The sequence below is a fragment of the Homo sapiens genome, chromosome 2, assembly GCF_000001405.40.
Source record: "Homo sapiens chromosome 2, GRCh38.p14 Primary Assembly".
Classification (NCBI taxonomy): domain Eukaryota; kingdom Metazoa; phylum Chordata; class Mammalia; order Primates; family Hominidae; genus Homo; species Homo sapiens.
In genome coordinates this window covers 97,650,042-97,665,363 of record NC_000002.12, presented here as the reverse complement: position 1 = coordinate 97,665,363, position 15,322 = coordinate 97,650,042, and the positions used below count along the sequence as shown (strand labels likewise).

General features: G+C 53.5%; 2 protein-coding genes, 1 non-coding gene and 1 pseudogene across 9 annotated transcripts in view, besides 6 other annotated features; 3 read left to right on the top strand and 1 right to left on the bottom strand.

Moving 5' to 3' along the window:
- Nucleotides 1-1,423, bottom strand: part of C2orf92 (chromosome 2 open reading frame 92) — a 39,126-nt gene extending 37,703 nt beyond the window's left edge. For 4 of the 5 annotated variants that reach the window (XM_024453105.2, XM_024453109.2, XM_024453106.2 and 1 more), the window contains exon 1: nt 1,171-1,423. In XM_024453105.2, coding sequence (XP_024308873.1) covers nt 1,171-1,423 — 253 coding nt within the window. Of the gene's footprint in view, nt 1-891; nt 1,104-1,170 lie in introns of those variants that run through there. The other variant, XM_024453110.2, reaches the window with a different exon arrangement.
- On the top strand, nt 394-1,072 carry RNU4-8P (RNA, U4 small nuclear 8, pseudogene; annotated as a pseudogene).
- Nucleotides 633-773, top strand: LOC124900516 (U4 spliceosomal RNA). The gene has a single exon (XR_007088703.1). It is a non-coding gene; the product is annotated as a U4 spliceosomal RNA (small nuclear RNA).
- Nucleotides 802-1,141: an enhancer, noted in NCBI's record as "active region_16241". NCBI's record gives its function as "activates an Ori minimal core promoter by ATAC-STARR-seq in GM12878 lymphoblastoid cells {active_cell/tissue: GM12878}" and the evidence as "EXISTENCE:reporter gene assay evidence [ECO:0000049][PMID:35858748]".
- Nucleotides 1,222-1,681: a silencer, noted in NCBI's record as "silent region_11793". NCBI's record gives its function as "represses an Ori minimal core promoter by ATAC-STARR-seq in GM12878 lymphoblastoid cells {active_cell/tissue: GM12878}" and the evidence as "EXISTENCE:reporter gene assay evidence [ECO:0000049][PMID:35858748]".
- ACTR1B (actin related protein 1B) lies at nt 1,320-9,425 on the top strand. Of its 3 annotated transcripts, none has more exons than NM_005735.4 (11): nt 1,320-1,521; nt 3,418-3,482; nt 4,718-4,793; nt 5,887-6,012; nt 6,361-6,485; nt 6,721-6,937; nt 7,048-7,140; nt 7,247-7,421; nt 7,855-7,916; nt 8,172-8,212; nt 8,404-9,425. In NM_005735.4, exons 1-11 carry the CDS (start codon nt 1,474-1,476, stop codon nt 8,504-8,506), a joined length of 1,131 nt encoding a protein of 376 aa, NP_005726.1. In that variant the 5' UTR covers nt 1,320-1,473; the 3' UTR covers nt 8,507-9,425. The 3 variants fall into 3 exon arrangements, with proteins under 3 accessions (NP_005726.1, XP_005263911.1, XP_016858605.1); XM_017003116.2 differs by lacking the exon at nt 1,320-1,521 and adding an exon at nt 1,575-1,912; XM_005263854.6 differs by lacking the exon at nt 4,718-4,793.
- Nucleotides 1,762-1,821: a silencer, noted in NCBI's record as "silent region_11792". NCBI's record gives its function as "represses an Ori minimal core promoter by ATAC-STARR-seq in GM12878 lymphoblastoid cells {active_cell/tissue: GM12878}" and the evidence as "EXISTENCE:reporter gene assay evidence [ECO:0000049][PMID:35858748]".
- Nucleotides 2,182-2,251: an enhancer, noted in NCBI's record as "active region_16240". NCBI's record gives its function as "activates an Ori minimal core promoter by ATAC-STARR-seq in GM12878 lymphoblastoid cells {active_cell/tissue: GM12878}" and the evidence as "EXISTENCE:reporter gene assay evidence [ECO:0000049][PMID:35858748]".
- Nucleotides 2,182-2,858: a biological region, named in NCBI's record as "H3K27ac hESC enhancer GRCh37_chr2:98278969-98279610".
- Nucleotides 2,217-2,858: an enhancer, noted in NCBI's record as "H3K27ac hESC enhancer chr2:98278969-98279610 (GRCh37/hg19 assembly coordinates)". NCBI's record gives its function as "activates a minimal SCP1, AML or CMV promoter by ChIP-STARR-seq in primed H9 embryonic stem cells {active_cell/tissue: H9 hESC(primed)}" and the evidence as "EXISTENCE:reporter gene assay evidence [ECO:0000049][PMID:30033119]".
- Nucleotides 9,426-15,322: the final 5,897 nt, after the last annotated feature.

Below are 15,322 nucleotides of genomic sequence, written 5' to 3'. Positions count from 1 at the left end.
GTTTCTTGAACTCGGTGGTTATGCAAGTGTGTCCACATTTTAATCATTCATTGAAATGTACATGTACACTTGTGATTTCTGCACACCCGCTTCAATTTTACAAATTTTATGCTCACAACCCATTGGGAGAGGTATATATACAGGGAAATAACTATGGATCCGTTTGGTAAACAAATGTAGAACTCAACTATCCTGCACTCTTGAAGCAGCTGACTCCAGTGCCGCAGGGGGCTACCTGCATGCCAATTCCACACCCAATAATCTTGGGCAGGTTACCAAAGTGTGAAGACCCTGACTGAAAAATGGGAGTAATAATACAACTACCTGATATTGTTGCAAGGATTTAATATAACTTATGTAAAGTGGGCAGAAGTGCTCCGCAGGCACAGAGCAGGTGCTCAATAAATGCCAGGACCAAAATACCACGAAACTGTAATTTTTATAAGGAAAAGGATCTTTTCTTCAGTGCTCAACGAGGAAATATTATGGGGCCGTGCGCAATAGCTGACGCCTGTAATCCCAACGCTTTGGAAAGACTAAGCGGGAGGATCGCTTAAGCTCAGGAGTTCGAGGCTAGCCCGGGGAACATAGCGAGATCCCTTCTCTACAAAAAAAATTTTTTTTAATTAGCTAGCGTTGCGCGGTGGCCGTATGGTGGCCAATGAGGTTTATCCGAAGCGCGATTATTGCTAATTGAAAACTTTTCGCAATACCCCACCGTGACGACTTGCAATATAGTCGACATCGGCAATTTTTAACAGTCTCTACGGAGACTATTTCAGTAAAAATAAATAAATATGGTGCGCGCCTGTAGTCCCCCCTACTGGCTGGCGCGGGAGGATCGCTTGAGCCCAAGATTTCCAGCCTGAGCGACAGAGCAAGACACCTTACCTAGAAAAAAAGAAAAAATAAATATTTTGGGTGAAATATCCAGGGCCGGCCTCCTTGGAGAGGGCGCTCTCACGAAGGAGCGTGGCCCGAGGTGCTGGGACGCGGGAAAGACGTCTTTCTGGACCGGTGCTGGGACGCGGGAAAGACGTCTTCCTGGACCGGTGAATTTCCAGCTCCACAGACTCCGGCCGCGCGCACACCAGCCCAGCTCCACTTTCTGCCGCCCGCGTCCCCTTTAAGACGGAGCCATGACATCATCCCAGACACTGCGCAGCCTACCTTGGCAACGCCGCGACCACTTTTTTCCGGACGACCTCAATTGGCTGGCCAGCCTCCGGAGGCCCCGCCCCCTTCGCGCAGCCAGCCCCGGGCACCTGCTGTCAATCGGGCCAGGTGGGAGCGATGATTGGCCGCCGGGCCCGCCCTCCAGAAAGCCCCGCGGGGCTCGCGTAGGCTGCAGGCTCGGGGAGGGAGGGCAGCGGCGCCGCGTCGGGAGCCGCCGCCGTCCCGGTCCTCCCGCCCGCCCGCCCATCCGGTGCCTCCTGCAGCCCGCCTGCTGGGCAGGGCCGGCGCGGCCCGGCCATGGAGTCCTACGACATCATCGCCAACCAGCCTGTGGTCATCGACAACGTGAGGCCCGGCAGCCAGGGGGAGGGCGGGCGCCCCGCCCCCGGGGGCGCACGCGGCGGCGCAGGGAGAGACCCCCGCCCGCCTCGGCGCGTCCTCCGCTCACTGCGTGGCCGTCGCCCCCGCCGGGCCGCTGGCTTCGCCCCGGGGGCGCGCGCCCTCTTGGCCTTGTAAGGCCGGCCATGGGGCGAGCCCCCTCGCCCGCGTCGCAGAGCCTCTTCCCCGACCCCTCCCCGAGTCGGGCGGGGAAGTTCAGGAGAGCTTGAGTGACAGCCGGGCGGCCGGGCGGGGACGCGCCCCGGACTCTTCTCAGTTGAGAGTGCGGTTCCTGGGCAGGTTTCCACACCAGTTCCTTTCCGCGTCCTTCGGCCCTGGCTCTGGCTGCCTGGCGGAGGTGGGGTAGCATTTGTCATTTGCACACTGCTGGCTTTATCTTTGGGGCTGCACCCCGAGGCAACAAATGCAGGATGCTCTGTCACCCACATGTCCACCACCATCTGGTTTGCCTTTTGGCTACTTTGACTTTCTCCTTAAATGCTTCCTGTGCTGAGCAAACATTCCACAGCCAGCAGAGCAATGGAGAGTTCATGGCCACTCTTCCCAGTATCAGCAAGCAATTTGGGGTGATCGTTTGGAAGCCTCAGAGGAAAGATGTCATCAGGCTTCCTGTGGCTTTGTCCTTCAGCAGTGGGGCTCGGCTTGCTTTCACCTGCCTTAGGAAGATTTCTGGCTTCCGAGCTCTGATATGGGGAGAAGATAAGGGCTGGGATCTTTGAGTCTGCCCCTAGCTGGGTATGTGCGTCCGGTGTGCGGGCCTTGGAGTTTTTGGTAATGACTCACTTGTGCTCTTTCTGGGATCTGTCTCCCTCCCACATGACCCCGTGGGGTCCCTGAATGACTGTTTTAGAGTACCCATGTGGGTTCCCTGAGTCACAGCAGGGGATGTTTAATAAGGAGGTTAGCACTGAGCTTGGGGACGTGCTGTCACACCAGCAGGACGCTGCAGGAAGGAGCAGGCTACTTCCTTTCTTGACGTGCAAATAACTCGTATAGGCTAATCAACAGGCTTATAAGTTAAAAGGGCTACCGCTCGGCCCCTTGGGGATTCCATCCCCTCCTCTGTAACTTGGAGATGTTTGTTTCTGCTGCAGACTCAGAGGGTTGCGATGAAGAGTGGTGGGACTGAGTTGAGAAGCTTATCCCTTCGCTGGGTGGGAGGTTTCTAATTGCCCCGTTCTTTGGGGGATCCTTAAGTCCAGCTTCCAGGTGGGGGCAGCGATAGGACCAAGTTCTCCTAGTAGTCTCTGGGAAGCCACTTGAGGGAAGCTGCCGGTCATCCCATGCACCCATTGGTCTTCTCCAGCAGGCCCTGTAGGTCGTCCATGTTCCATGCCTTCTGGGTTCTTGGGGGAGAAGGAAGCTGTTGAAAAAAAAAAAAAAAGACCCACACAGAGGGGTTTCTTCTAGCTTTTGGGAGTAGCATGTGCTATGGAATCCTGCTGGAGCCAACCATTAGTTGTGCAGAGGAAGGTGCCCTTCGTGGTTTCTCTATCTCTATATTATTGACATTCTGGGCTAGCTCCTTGTTGGTAGTGCAGGCTCGCCTGTGCATCGTAGGATGTTGAGCAGCATCCTTGGCCTCTGCCCACTAGATGCCAATAGCATCCCCCACTGCATGTCCCCTCTCCCCAGCTGCCAGACATTGCCAAATGTTGCCAGAGCAGGGGGATACAAAATTGCCCCCAATCTTGAACCATAGGTGTACTTGTAAATGATCCTGGCAGGGTCCCTGGCTTCCTCCTTGGCCTGCCTTGACGGGGCAGCCAGCTCTCTCCATTGCGGGGGACTGGCTTCATCTGGTGGTGCATGTGGGCAGCTCAACTTTGTTTTTCCTTGCAGGGTTCGGGGGTGATTAAAGCTGGCTTTGCAGGAGACCAGATTCCCAAATACTGTTTCCCAAACTAGTAAGTGTGGCTCAGGCAGCAGCCTTAGTCCTTTTGTTTACCTTCTGTAAGAACATTGGCCTTCTGTCACAGGGCTCTTTGAAGACAATTTGTGCCCTGACCTGTATGGAAAACACCAAATTTGTGAGGTTGACACTCTTGAGAGAGCACTGAAAGAACAAGACAAGCGTTCTAGGGTTCCCCTTTGTCTTGGGAGTCTCTCGTTTTGGTCTTGTTGAGCCAGCAAGGAGGAAAAGCAACCAGCATTTCCCTGGGGATGGGGTGTGGTAGCAGCAGCAAGAATAAAGGGAGACATCTCCGAGGGGAGCCCTAAACTCGGAGCAGGAAGAGTGAGGAATTAGATGCACAGCCACCCTTTCCTCCCTGGAAGTGTTTTCTGCCGGGCTTGTTTTCAGACTCTAGAAAATGTCTTGTTTCAGTTAAGAGGGGATCCTTTGCCCTGTATGGTACTGGTGGGGGCGGGAATAAGAATTGCAAACCCAGAGAGCCTGGGGTGCCCCTTGCACCCACCACGAGCCCATTGGGAAAGTTGCCCTTAGGGGCACCTCTTCACAAATCCTGGAGGCTTTGGAATGAGTGGCCTAAAGGCAGCGGGCAGCAGGGGATCCTAGGCCCCGAGTGGCAGGCTAGCCCGAGCCCGGCCTGGTCTGGGACAGAGCTAGCATGGTGCGCCCTGTCGAGCTTCAGCATTCCTTTCTGACTGCATGGGTATAATTAGAGGTTCCTTTGCCTTTAGTGGTAGCTCATCAGATCCTATAGTTTCCAAGAACTGAATCTCTGATCCAGAAGCGCTGGCAGTGGGGTAGGGCGCTTGACTGAGTGAGAGCAGGGTGCACAAGGGAGCCCCGACCCAGCTTCCTGGGGTTGTCCTCCCTCAGTCTGTGGATGGTGACGGCAGCCCTGCCCCACCGAAGTCAGGAGCGTGGGCTGAGTCACTGTGGCTGCAGGAAGCCGACCCTCTGCAAGGGCTGGGCCATGGAGGGCTGGGTTCTGGCGCTCAGACATGCAGCTGTCTCTGCTGACCGTGCCTTCTGACCCTGAGCTTCTCGTCCTGCCTAGGCCCCCTCTCTAGCCCCGAACCCCATAGGCCCCAGTTCCAACCTGTGCCCCCCAGCCACATCCTGGTGTTTGGAGGCCAGGTACCCTCTGGGCGACTATGGTTGGATTTCGGTTTTTCTGGACACAAGCTCTGCCATGCTCCCTGCCCACCTTGCTGACGTTATCCGTCCTAACAGTGTCGGGCGGCCGAAGCACATGCGGGTGATGGCTGGAGCCCTGGAGGGGGACCTCTTCATCGGACCAAAAGCAGAGGTAACACCGAGGAGCCTGCCTTTCCCTGGGGGTGGGGTCCTCAGTTGCAGGAACATGGCATGTGTTCTTGGGCCTCTGCTGGTGACCTCCCGGGTACCTCCTCCAGGCTCCAGCTGGGAAGTGCTGTGCAGGGGCACCTCCCCCTGAGATGGGGCAGCAGTTCCTCTTCTAGGGAGCATGGGTAGAGCTCATCGTGTCCTGTCTTTTAGAAGCTATTTGGAAGCTACAGAACCAAGAACTGATCAAAAAGTGATATAAGAGTCAGAATCACACACACTTCACGTCTGCTCTAATGAGGGCCATGGGGCCGCCTCTCACAGTGAAGCCGGAGTGTCCCACCAAGGGGCTGCATGGCCTGATCAGACCCTCAGGAGAGCATGTGTGGGTGTGGGGAGAGCAGCAAGCTGAGCTTGGCCAAGGGCAGTTTAGGCGCCTGAGGAGCATTGTGTCGGGTGCCGGGGCGTGGGGCATGCGTGGTTCTGGGCCCAGAAAGGGGAGGCCTGAGCTGGAGGTGCAGAGGGTGGGGGTCTCGCAGATGGGGTCCGTAGGAGCCGAGGTGGTGAGAGGAGCTAAGTGGTGCTAGGTGAGAAGGGGCATGGCTGGGGGGACATCGAAGGGCAGGTGGAGGCAGCATGTCAGTGCAAACAGGGGACTGGTGAGGACCGGCCAAAGGGCTGGGGGGAGAGGCGTAGGTCAGGGGGCACAGGTGGCCCAGGAGGGGCCGTGTTGGGCGGCTGCAAGGTGCCGGCGCTGGCCAGAGGGGAGCTGGCAGAGTGTGAGGAGAATGTGGGGGATGTGCCGGCAGTGAGAATGGGGAAGAAGAGAGCCTGCAGATTGCGGGGCACACTGCCACCCTCTCTGATCCCCCCAGCTGAAGCTAGCTGGGCTCTAAGAGCCTAAGAAGCTGGTGGGCAGGTGAGCCCATGCTGAGTTCAGGACCCGCCACAGACCCTGGGACACCCAGTGAGCAGGGGTGGTTCTGGTCAGGGCAGGTGAGGTTCTGGTCAGGGCAGGTGAGGGTCAGCTTCCAGGAGGGCGGAAAGCAGCCGCTGAGCAAGGGCCGGGTGCCACACCTCCCTTCCCACCCCACCAGGAGCACCGGGGGCTGCTGACCATCCGCTACCCCATGGAGCACGGCGTGGTGCGAGACTGGAACGACATGGAACGCATCTGGCAGTACGTCTACTCCAAGGATCAGCTGCAGACCTTCTCGGAGGAGGTGTGGCGGCTGCCCCTCCTGCATGCTCTGCATTCTCCTGGCCATGCCCCTCTCCTCTGCGTCCCTCCTCGCCGGGCTCCCACATTTCCCTTCTACATTTCTAGAGGGCCTGCTGCCTTTCCGTGTGTGTCTGGGTGCGCATACGTACCCAGTGGCTGCTAGGCAGAATCTTCCAAAGAGAGCCGGATCTCCGGAAGAGTAACTGCCAGCAGATAAAGGGATGGGGCCCTCAGGAGGGGTAGGAGGCTGAGCTGCCTGTGCGCCAGCGGGTGTGGTTCTCTGGAAAGAGCCTTTTAGGGCCTTGCAAGTTGCCTCCTCTGATGCCTACAACTGTCCCGTCCCTCGCAGCATCCTGTGCTCCTCACGGAGGCCCCGCTCAACCCGAGTAAGAACCGGGAGAAGGCGGCAGAGGTGTTCTTTGAGACCTTCAACGTGCCGGCCCTGTTCATCTCCATGCAGGCTGTGCTCAGTCTGTGAGTGCTCCCTAAGCCTGGCCTCCCTGAGTCCTGTCCTCCCTGTGCCGTCCTGCTTGCCATGACCAGGGTCTGACTTCCCTGGAAAAACAGCCCCTTGATGACTGTTCCTCTAGGGAGTCCCTCGTGTCCTCTCTTCAGACTAGATAATGCAGATGTGCCAGGGTTCCTCCCCTGGGTGAGGAGGTCCCCGTGCCTCAGTGGCTGAGGTGAGGGGATGCTGACCTGGTGACAGGTACGCAACAGGACGCACGACAGGAGTGGTTCTAGACTCAGGGGACGGGGTCACTCATGCTGTGCCCATCTATGAGGGCTTTGCCATGCCTCACTCCATCATGCGGGTGGACATTGCCGGCCGCGACGTCTCCCGCTACCTCCGACTCCTGCTGCGCAAGGAAGGGGTTGACTTCCATACCTCGGCTGAGTTTGAGGTTGTCCGGACAATCAAAGAGGTGACAAGGGGCGAGAGGGTGTGGACACGACCTGGGGTGAGGAAAGGGTGGCACCAAGGCACAGGTGTCCCAGGTGCAGCCTTCTGAGGGCTGTGTCCCTGTCCCCGCAGCGAGCGTGCTACCTGTCCATCAACCCACAGAAGGATGAGGCTCTGGAGACGGAGAAGGTGCAGTACACGTTGCCAGACGGCAGCACGCTTGATGTAAGTGGCCGGGCCTGGCACTGGAGTGGCAGCCGATGCCCAGCCTGGGGGAAGGGGTAGCCCGCTTCTCCAGGAAGCCTGTCTGCCTCAATCTTGTACACTAAAGGTGGGGCCTGCACGATTCCGGGCCCCCGAGCTGCTGTTCCAGCCGGACCTTGTCGGGGATGAGAGTGAGGGGCTCCATGAGGTGGTGGCCTTCGCCATACACAAGTCCGACATGGACCTGCGCCGGACGCTGTTCGCCAACATCGTGCTCTCAGGTGGCTCAACGCTTTTCAAAGGTACTGTGGCTTGAGAGTTGGTGGTGGTGAGACGAGGCCCAGGGCAGCTGGACCCTCAGAGAGTATACCCCTACCCAGAGCCATATTCTGTTGGCTTTTTGGTGGTGCTCAATGAACATTTTTTTTAACAGACCAAAATTTAAAATTAAATTTTGTTTACTCTGTGAATAGAGGAGAAGTTTACACAAGCTCTAAAGTGTATTGTGAGAGTCGAGCAAGGAGCATGTGCGGCTTCATCTCACGCTGCCTCTGTGAGGACGCAGGGCCCGCAGGCAGCCATGGGGCTGGATCATTTCTCAGCCTTGCCCTTCATCCTGGGAAGAGCTGCTGATAGAGGACCAGCAGTAGCTGGGGGCCCTGAAGGCTGGGTGCGGGAGCTAGCAGCGAGGAGGCCGGGTGCAGACCCCAGGCTCAGCCAGCTTTGTGTTCACAGGCTTCGGAGACCGATTACTCAGTGAAGTGAAGAAGCTTGCCCCAAAGGATATCAAAATCAAGGTGAGGTTACAGAAACTCCCCCTGGGGCACTAGGGCGCTGGCAGCCTTGGCATGGGGAGGAAGGTTGAATGCTGCCCCCAGACCCGCTCACCAGCTCACGTCCACCTAGTCCTGTTCTTCCCAAGGCTGCTGCTGCCACTCCCCAGCTTATGCCTTTGCTGTCAGGCTTCAGGACCTGGGGAAGGTGACCCCAAGGCTGGGAGGATGGCTTCTGGGTGGGGATCCACAGTTAACGTGGCCACTTCCTCCTTCTAGATCTCAGCCCCGCAGGAACGGCTGTACTCCACATGGATTGGGTGAGGCGGGGCTCAAGGGAGGGCTCTGGGAGGAGACCACTTTACCCTGGATGCTCCTCCCATTGTTGGCCTAGGCCACGTGGAGGTGGGTGGATTTCCCTCCCAAATTAGGGAAATGCAACTCTGAGCACCCAGGAAGGTGGTTGGCTCCCTGACAGGTCCACAGCAATACTATCCCTCCATCCCCACAGCGGCTCCATCCTGGCCTCGCTGGACACTTTTAAGAAGATGTGGGTGTCCAAAAAGGAGTATGAAGAGGATGGCTCCCGTGCTATTCATCGCAAAACTTTCTAGTGCCCAAGGAGGGCGGGGCATGTTGGGAGAGGGGGAGGGAGGGGAGACAGAGCCTTTAACCCTTTTTGGTCTTGGCTCGTATACTAGGCTTAGGGTCCCCTGCATGCCCTGAACCCCTGGGTGGGTGGCACAGCAGTGCCCCCCTGCAGCCTTCCCCTCTACACAGGACATGCACACACAAGTAACATTGAGCTGCATGGACAGGAGCCTTGAGCTGGCGTGTGGGAATTGAGCGCCATGTCAGGCTGTTGTGGGTATCCCCCTGGCAGGGCCAGCTAGGCCTGTGGTTCCCTGCTCCGACTCTCAGGGCTGCCTCCCTGAGCTCCAGGGCCAGAATGCCTGGATGCCTGGGTAGCCAGTTTGGGGAGTGGGCTGCAAGGGGCAGCCAGCAGCTCCCACTGGTGTGTCACTGCATCCATTGCCACCTCCTGTTCGTGACCTGACAGGGTGACACAGCCCCTTTCACACTCTGTCCTCCTATCTTCCTGGGTAGATGCCCTGGTGTAGGGCTGAGTACTGAATGGTCTTCCATCCCCAGCAAGGGGGTGCAGCCCAGGGTCAGGCCCTTCAGAGCCAGGGCAGAGGATGCACGGTGGCTAGAGCCGCTGCACTATCCTTTTCAGAGCACTTCATCCACTTGCTCCTCCCTCTACCCTCGGCACCCTGGGTGGGAAAGGGTTGATGCTCATCATTTATTGAGGGGAAGCCACTTAATAAGGAGTCAGACCTAAAAGGGGGTGGGGGACATTTTCTTACCTCACCCAAGAAAGAGGTCGTCACTTTTGCTGTGGCCAGGGCCCCACCTCCCTCTCTCAGATATGTACAATAATTTAACACGGTTGCCTGAAAAAAACTTTTGTAAATCATTATAGTAATAATTATGGACAAGGCCCAGTGTGTGGCTCTGTTTTCTTGTGGCTCTCTGTGCTATCGTTTGTTCTTCCATCCCTGGGGACTTTCAGAGAAAGGACCAGAGAGAATGCAGCAAGGCACTGGCTCTAGCTTAGCGGCATGAAGGTTTCAGTGGTTGGCCCGCCAACGTGGCACAAAAAGCCTCAGGAGGCTGGGCTCTCACCCTGTAGCATAATTCCCTCGCCTGTTACCTCCCCTGCTGCAGTCCACCAGGGGAAGTAGAACCAGGCTACCTTCTTTGCCCCCGGACCCTGGACAGGCCTATTTGAGCACCTCTGCTCACCCCATTCAGCCAGGGCTAAGGCTGGTGGACACCAGCAATGATGCAAGCTCACGCCTTCAGACAAGTCAGGATGGGGAAGGCAGGGAGAGGCAGAGAGGCTGTGAGCTTAGCCAGGCCCTAGAGGAATAGGCAGAAGAGCAGTGAGGAATTAGGGTTTGGAGAATGTCTGCTCTTTACTTTCTTAAGTGTTTGAGAACCTACAGTGTTTCCAGGATGGTGCCGTGTGTTTGGGGCCAATGGTCAACAAGTTATATCCTTGCCCTAACAAATACACACGTCAAGGGAGAAAGACAGATGAGCCATTTTAGTACAGAGTTGTGGGGGCCGAGGCGTTAGTCATCTGGCCCGACAGGTGGGGCAGGCCGACTTGCAAGGATCCAGAGGTTATCCAGGGATGGGGAAGGCATTCTATGCAGATGTGAGAGCCCAAAGAAGCACCTGGGACCAGTGGGTCTGGAGAGGAAGGCAGGGACCCAATGCCCAGTCAGCAGGGAAAGGTCAGTGGTCTGTGGTCATTGTGTGAGATGAACAAAAAAGGTGGGTTGAGCTGGCACATGGAGGATTGTTAGCTGTGTCCTGGGAGATGGGTGGCCAGCCATAGAAAGATGGTGACCAGAGCAGTGTGTTGTAGGCAGTTGGGGTTTGTGGGGGGTGAGGGCAGCCCCAGGACTGAGGAGATGAGGTAGGAGTGAGGAGAGTACTGAGGCCTGTCTGCCAAGGCGTTTTGTGAGGCTTTGTGGTCACAAGGCAGTTATGCTTGCACTGGCCCTCAAAGGGAAAGCAGAATTTGCACGGAGAACTCCATATTAGGGCACCCTCCAGACCAGTTCTTCCCACAGTGCTCTGTTCATGGCACCACTGGCTCCCTGCCTCCCAGGTTAGAGCCTTATCCATCGACGCTTTCCTCTTCCCTGTCTCTCCCACTCTGTCAGTCACCAGGTTGTGTGGTTCTTCTGTAGTACCTTTCCCACTGGTCCGTTCTTTTCCAGCACAGCCACTGCCACCATAGCTATGACCACAGCTCCATTCCCTGGCCACCCAATCTATTTGCTCGTGGATCTAAAGCCCAGATAAGATTGGTTCTGACACCTCCTACTCCAAAGTGTCAAGTGGTTCTCCACTGCCTCGTGACATGAAACAATTGATGTGATGCTGGTAAAACCACCTACGTGAGCCACATGTTGTGTTTGACTCAGGCCCCTTGAGATCTGTTCCTTCCCTGTTTTAGGTTTACCCCTCACATCCTTTGCCTGCTAGCCTTCAGGCATGCTGTTCTCTCCATGGGAATGACCTTCGCTTGTGCCTGTGAAAATCTTGTCCTTTAAGGCAAAGCACCATCCTCTGTACCCCCTCTTCTGGCAGGTTTAAGTGCTCAGACTCTGCCAGCTTCTTACTGTTGGAAAAAGCTACAGATGAGGAAGGTAGTACAGCTGGAATGAAGCCTGTGTTGGATTGGAGTTGGAGGTAGTATGAAGTCATGGTTTTAATATACATACAGATAGATACCAAAATAAACACATCTGTGTGTGAGAGCCAGCATCAGAACATACACATGCATTTCCTAGCCCTGTCTGTTGGGAAGGTCTGGAAGCAATGACACTACAATAGCAATGAGCACATACAGTGTCCAGATCTTGGTTTCTAAATACCATTCTGGGAAAAAGTTCTTTATTCTGTACTTGTAAATAGTTTAATACCATTAGTGTGAGGCCTGTGTTCTCCCTTGGTGAGGGAAGATGGGCTCCATTTTCTAAACTAAGCTCAGATAGAAGCCACTTCGACCCAAGAGCAAAGGTTTGGTCCTCCTAGTAGGGGACATGACATTTCCCCTGGGACAATTCCCTGAAACAGGGAAAATAATAGATGAGCTTGGAATATTCTGTGGTACCATAAAGTAAGGAAGTGAAAAAGGGAAGGGCTTGTCTAAAGGACACAAGAACCAACTAGAAGGAGCACCCAATGCTCAAATCTGTAACGGATGATAAGCCATGGCATAAAATATGCGTGAGTCATACTCATGCAAATAAATAACTGAATAAATGTATACATGGGGAAGAAGGGACAGTTCTCACTTATGGTAAAATTCCAATTGATGTCAAAGGAATTGTGGGAAAAAAGTCACCATTGAGGAAACACCATAGTGATCATTGTTGCAGGTAAGAATGGAGACAAAAATCAGTGGGCAAAAGTAAAGACATTTGTGTTGTCTCTATCCCTCTACAAGATACTTATTAATTACAAAAGGAGAAATAGTAACTTTATGGTGGAGAGACATTGACACTACCTTAACCAAATAATCAGAGTATACATCTCCAGTAATAAGTCATTGTCTCTGTTTTTTTTTAAGAGGATCTCACTCTGTTGTGGAGGCTAGAGTGGAATGCAGTGGCACGATCACGGCTCACTGCAGCCTCCATCTCCTGGGCTCACGGGATCCTCTTGCCTCAGCCTCCAAGGTGCTGGGGCTACAGGTGGGCACCACCACACCCCACTAGTTGTTATTTTTTTGTAGAGATGGGGGTCTCACTTTATTGCCCTGGTGAGTCTCAAACTCCTGGCTTCAAGTACATCTCCTGCCTCAGCCTCCCAAAGCACTGGGATTACAGGCATGAGCCACCAAGCCCAGCCATAAGTCATTGTCTCTTTTTTTCTTTGCTTTTTTGAGATGGAGTCTCTCTATGTTGCCCAGGCTGGAGCGCAGTGGTGAGATCTCAGCTCACTGCAACCTCCACCTCCTGGGTTCAAGCGATTCTCCCGCCTCAACCTCCCGAGTAGCTGGGATTACAGGCGCTCACCACCACACCCAGCCAATTTTTGTATTTTTAGTAGAGATGGGATTTCACCAGGTTAGCCAAGCTGGTCTCGAACTCCTGACATTAAGTTATCTGCCTGTCCCAGCCTCCAAAAGTGCTGGAATTACAGGCATGAGCCACTGGGCCTGGCCATAAGTCATTGTCTCTTGATGATGCACTAAGAGGGGCCTGATTTTCCCTCTGGTATTCTTGCATCACCTCAGTCTAACCAGGAGCAAGCAGTAGGCAAACCCAAACTGAGGGCAGTCTACAAATGAATAGAGTTGCCTTGTTCAAAAGTGGCAGGTCATGGGGACAAGGAAAGACCAAGTGCAATGTGAGATCCTAGGTTGGAAAAAAGACCTTACCAGGAAAGCCAGCAAAATCATGATAAGGTCTGCTGGTTAGTCCATAGTACTGCATCAGTGTTAATTTCCTGGTTTCAATAATTATGCTATGGTACTGCCAGGTGTTAACATTAAGGAAAACTGAGTGAAGGTTAAGTAGGAACTCTATTATTTTTTGCAATTTTTCTGTAAGTCTAAAATTATTTTAAAATAGAAAATTGCGCTGCGTGTGGTGTCACATGCCTGTAATCCCAGCACTTTGGGAGGCCGAGGCTGCAGGATTGCTTGAGCCCAGGATTTCGAGGTTCCAGTGAGCTATGAACAAACCACTGCACTCCAGCCTGGGTGACAAAGACCCTGTTTCAAAAATAATAACTTAAAAGTTGGGGTGGGGGAAAAGAGCTCAGGGTCTGGAGCTATGGTCTGGGTTCACAATCTTGCCACAAGAAATTGCTAGCTGTGTATTCCTGAGCTGTCCCCAGGCTTCCCCATCTCTATTATGGGGATGGTAATAATAGCAGCTTCCTCATGGGTTTATTCACAGCCTGGAAGACAAGCCTGGAACATTTTATTCCAGAAAATAAAAAGAAATGCTCAAAGAGGCCGGGCGCAGTGGCTCACACCTATAATCCCAGCACTTTGGGAGGCCGAGGCGGGCGGATCACGAGGTCAAGAGATCGAGACCATCCTGGCTAACACGGTGAAAACCTGTCTCTACTAAAAGTACAAAAAATTAGCTGGGCGTGGTGGCGGGCGCCTGTAGTCCCAGCTATTTGGGAGGCTGAGGCAGGAGAATGGCATGAACCCAGGAGGTGGAGCTTGCAGTGAGCCAAGATCATGCCACTGCACTCCAGCCTGGGCAACAGAGTGAGACTCCATCTCAAATGATAGAGGCATGTCAAAAGGCCACAGGAGCCAGCTAGAAGAGGTTCCCGCTGGCCAAATTTGGAACAAATTAAACATCAAAAAATAAATAATGATAGCCATGGATTATAATCCACTGAATAAAATAAAGTATGAATCCATACTGATAATTAGTAAGCTGAAAGTTTGATGAGGAACAAGGTATTGACATTTCTAAGTAGTGCCTCATAAGATAGTAAAGAGCAACTTCACAGTGAAGTTTGGCAGACATTAGCTTCATCAAGTGACAGAAGTGAACCTCCTCAGCAGTGGACAAGTGGGCATCACGTGCCTCCCAGGAAGGGGGCAGCATTCCTTGCCCACCATGCGTAACCTGAATCCAGTGTGAAAGAGACAAACCCAAGTTGTTGGTATAATTCTTAAAAGTGTCAAGGTCGGGATAGTCAAGGAAAGACAGGAACTGTTCCAGATGGAACAACTAAGGGCAACACGTGATTCTGAGTTGACTCCTTTTGCTATAGAAGACATTATTGGAACTTCTAGCAAAACTTAAATGAGTCTGAAGATTAGATGGTAGAAATATACAAATCGTAGTTTTGTGATTTTGATGGTCATGTTGTGGGTATTAAGAGAATGTCTTTGTAAGAAATAAACATGCGTGTGATGGGGCATCAGATCACCTTACTTTCAAATGGCCCTGGGAAAAAGTTCTTCCTTGTATACTTGGAAAGAGTTTAATACAGTTAGAGTGAGGCTTATATTCTTCCTTGGTGAGTGGAGATGGCATCCAATTTAAGCTGCTAAGTGGCCAGAGGTTCAGATGGAGCCCACTTCTACCCAAAAGCAAAAGTTTTGTCCTCCTAGTGGGGAACATTATATCTTTCCCCCTACCACTAGGGCTCCCAGTTACCATGAGGCAAGGAAGCGAGCTATTCCATATGGTTAGCCTGAAGCAGTTCTCAGCCTTGCTGTTGGAAACACCTGTGGAACTTTAAACTTCTGATGCTTGGGTCCTACCCCAAGATACTATTTTAATGTCTGGGTGTGGCCTGGGCACTGGGAGTTGTAAAAGATCCCCAGGTGGTTCTAAGGTGCAGCTAAATATGAGACCTACTGACTCAGGGATTGGATTTATTGATCTGTGTATTCTTTTCCTATTAGTGCCACAGAAAATTCTCACAAACTTAGTGGCTTAAAATAACACAAGTTTATGGCCGGGCACGGTGGCTCACACCTGTAATCCCAGCACTTTGGGAGGCCGAGGCGGGCGGATCACAGGTCAGGAGATCAAGACCATCCTGGATAACACAGTGAAACCCCGTCTCTACTAAAAAAAAAAAAAAAAAATTAGCTGGGCGTGGTGGCAGGCGCCTGTAGTCCCAGCTATTCAGGAGGCTGAGGCGGGAGAGTGGCGTGAACCCAGAAGGCGGAGCTTGCAGTGAGCCAAGATCGTGCCACTGCACTCCAGGCTGGGCGACAGAGCAAGACTCTGTCTCAAAAAAAAAAAATAGTTAGTTATTATCTTACGGTTCCTAAGTCTAATGTGGGTCTCACTAGGCTGAAGTGAAAGTATCAGCAGGGCTTCACTCCTTTCTGAAGACTAGAGTATCATTTCCTT

Excerpts from the sequence above, each read along its gene's own strand:
- ACTR1B (NM_005735.4), top strand. The coding sequence starts at position 1,474 with ATGGAGTCCTACGACATCATCGCCAACCAGCCTGTGGTCATCGACAAC. Across the intron at positions 6,486-6,720 it reads ATGCAGGCTGTGCTCAGTCT|GTACGCAACAGGACGCACGA; the intron begins GTGAGTGCTCCC and ends ACCTGGTGACAG. Across the intron at positions 7,141-7,246 it reads CAGACGGCAGCACGCTTGAT|GTGGGGCCTGCACGATTCCG; the intron begins GTAAGTGGCCGG and ends TGTACACTAAAG.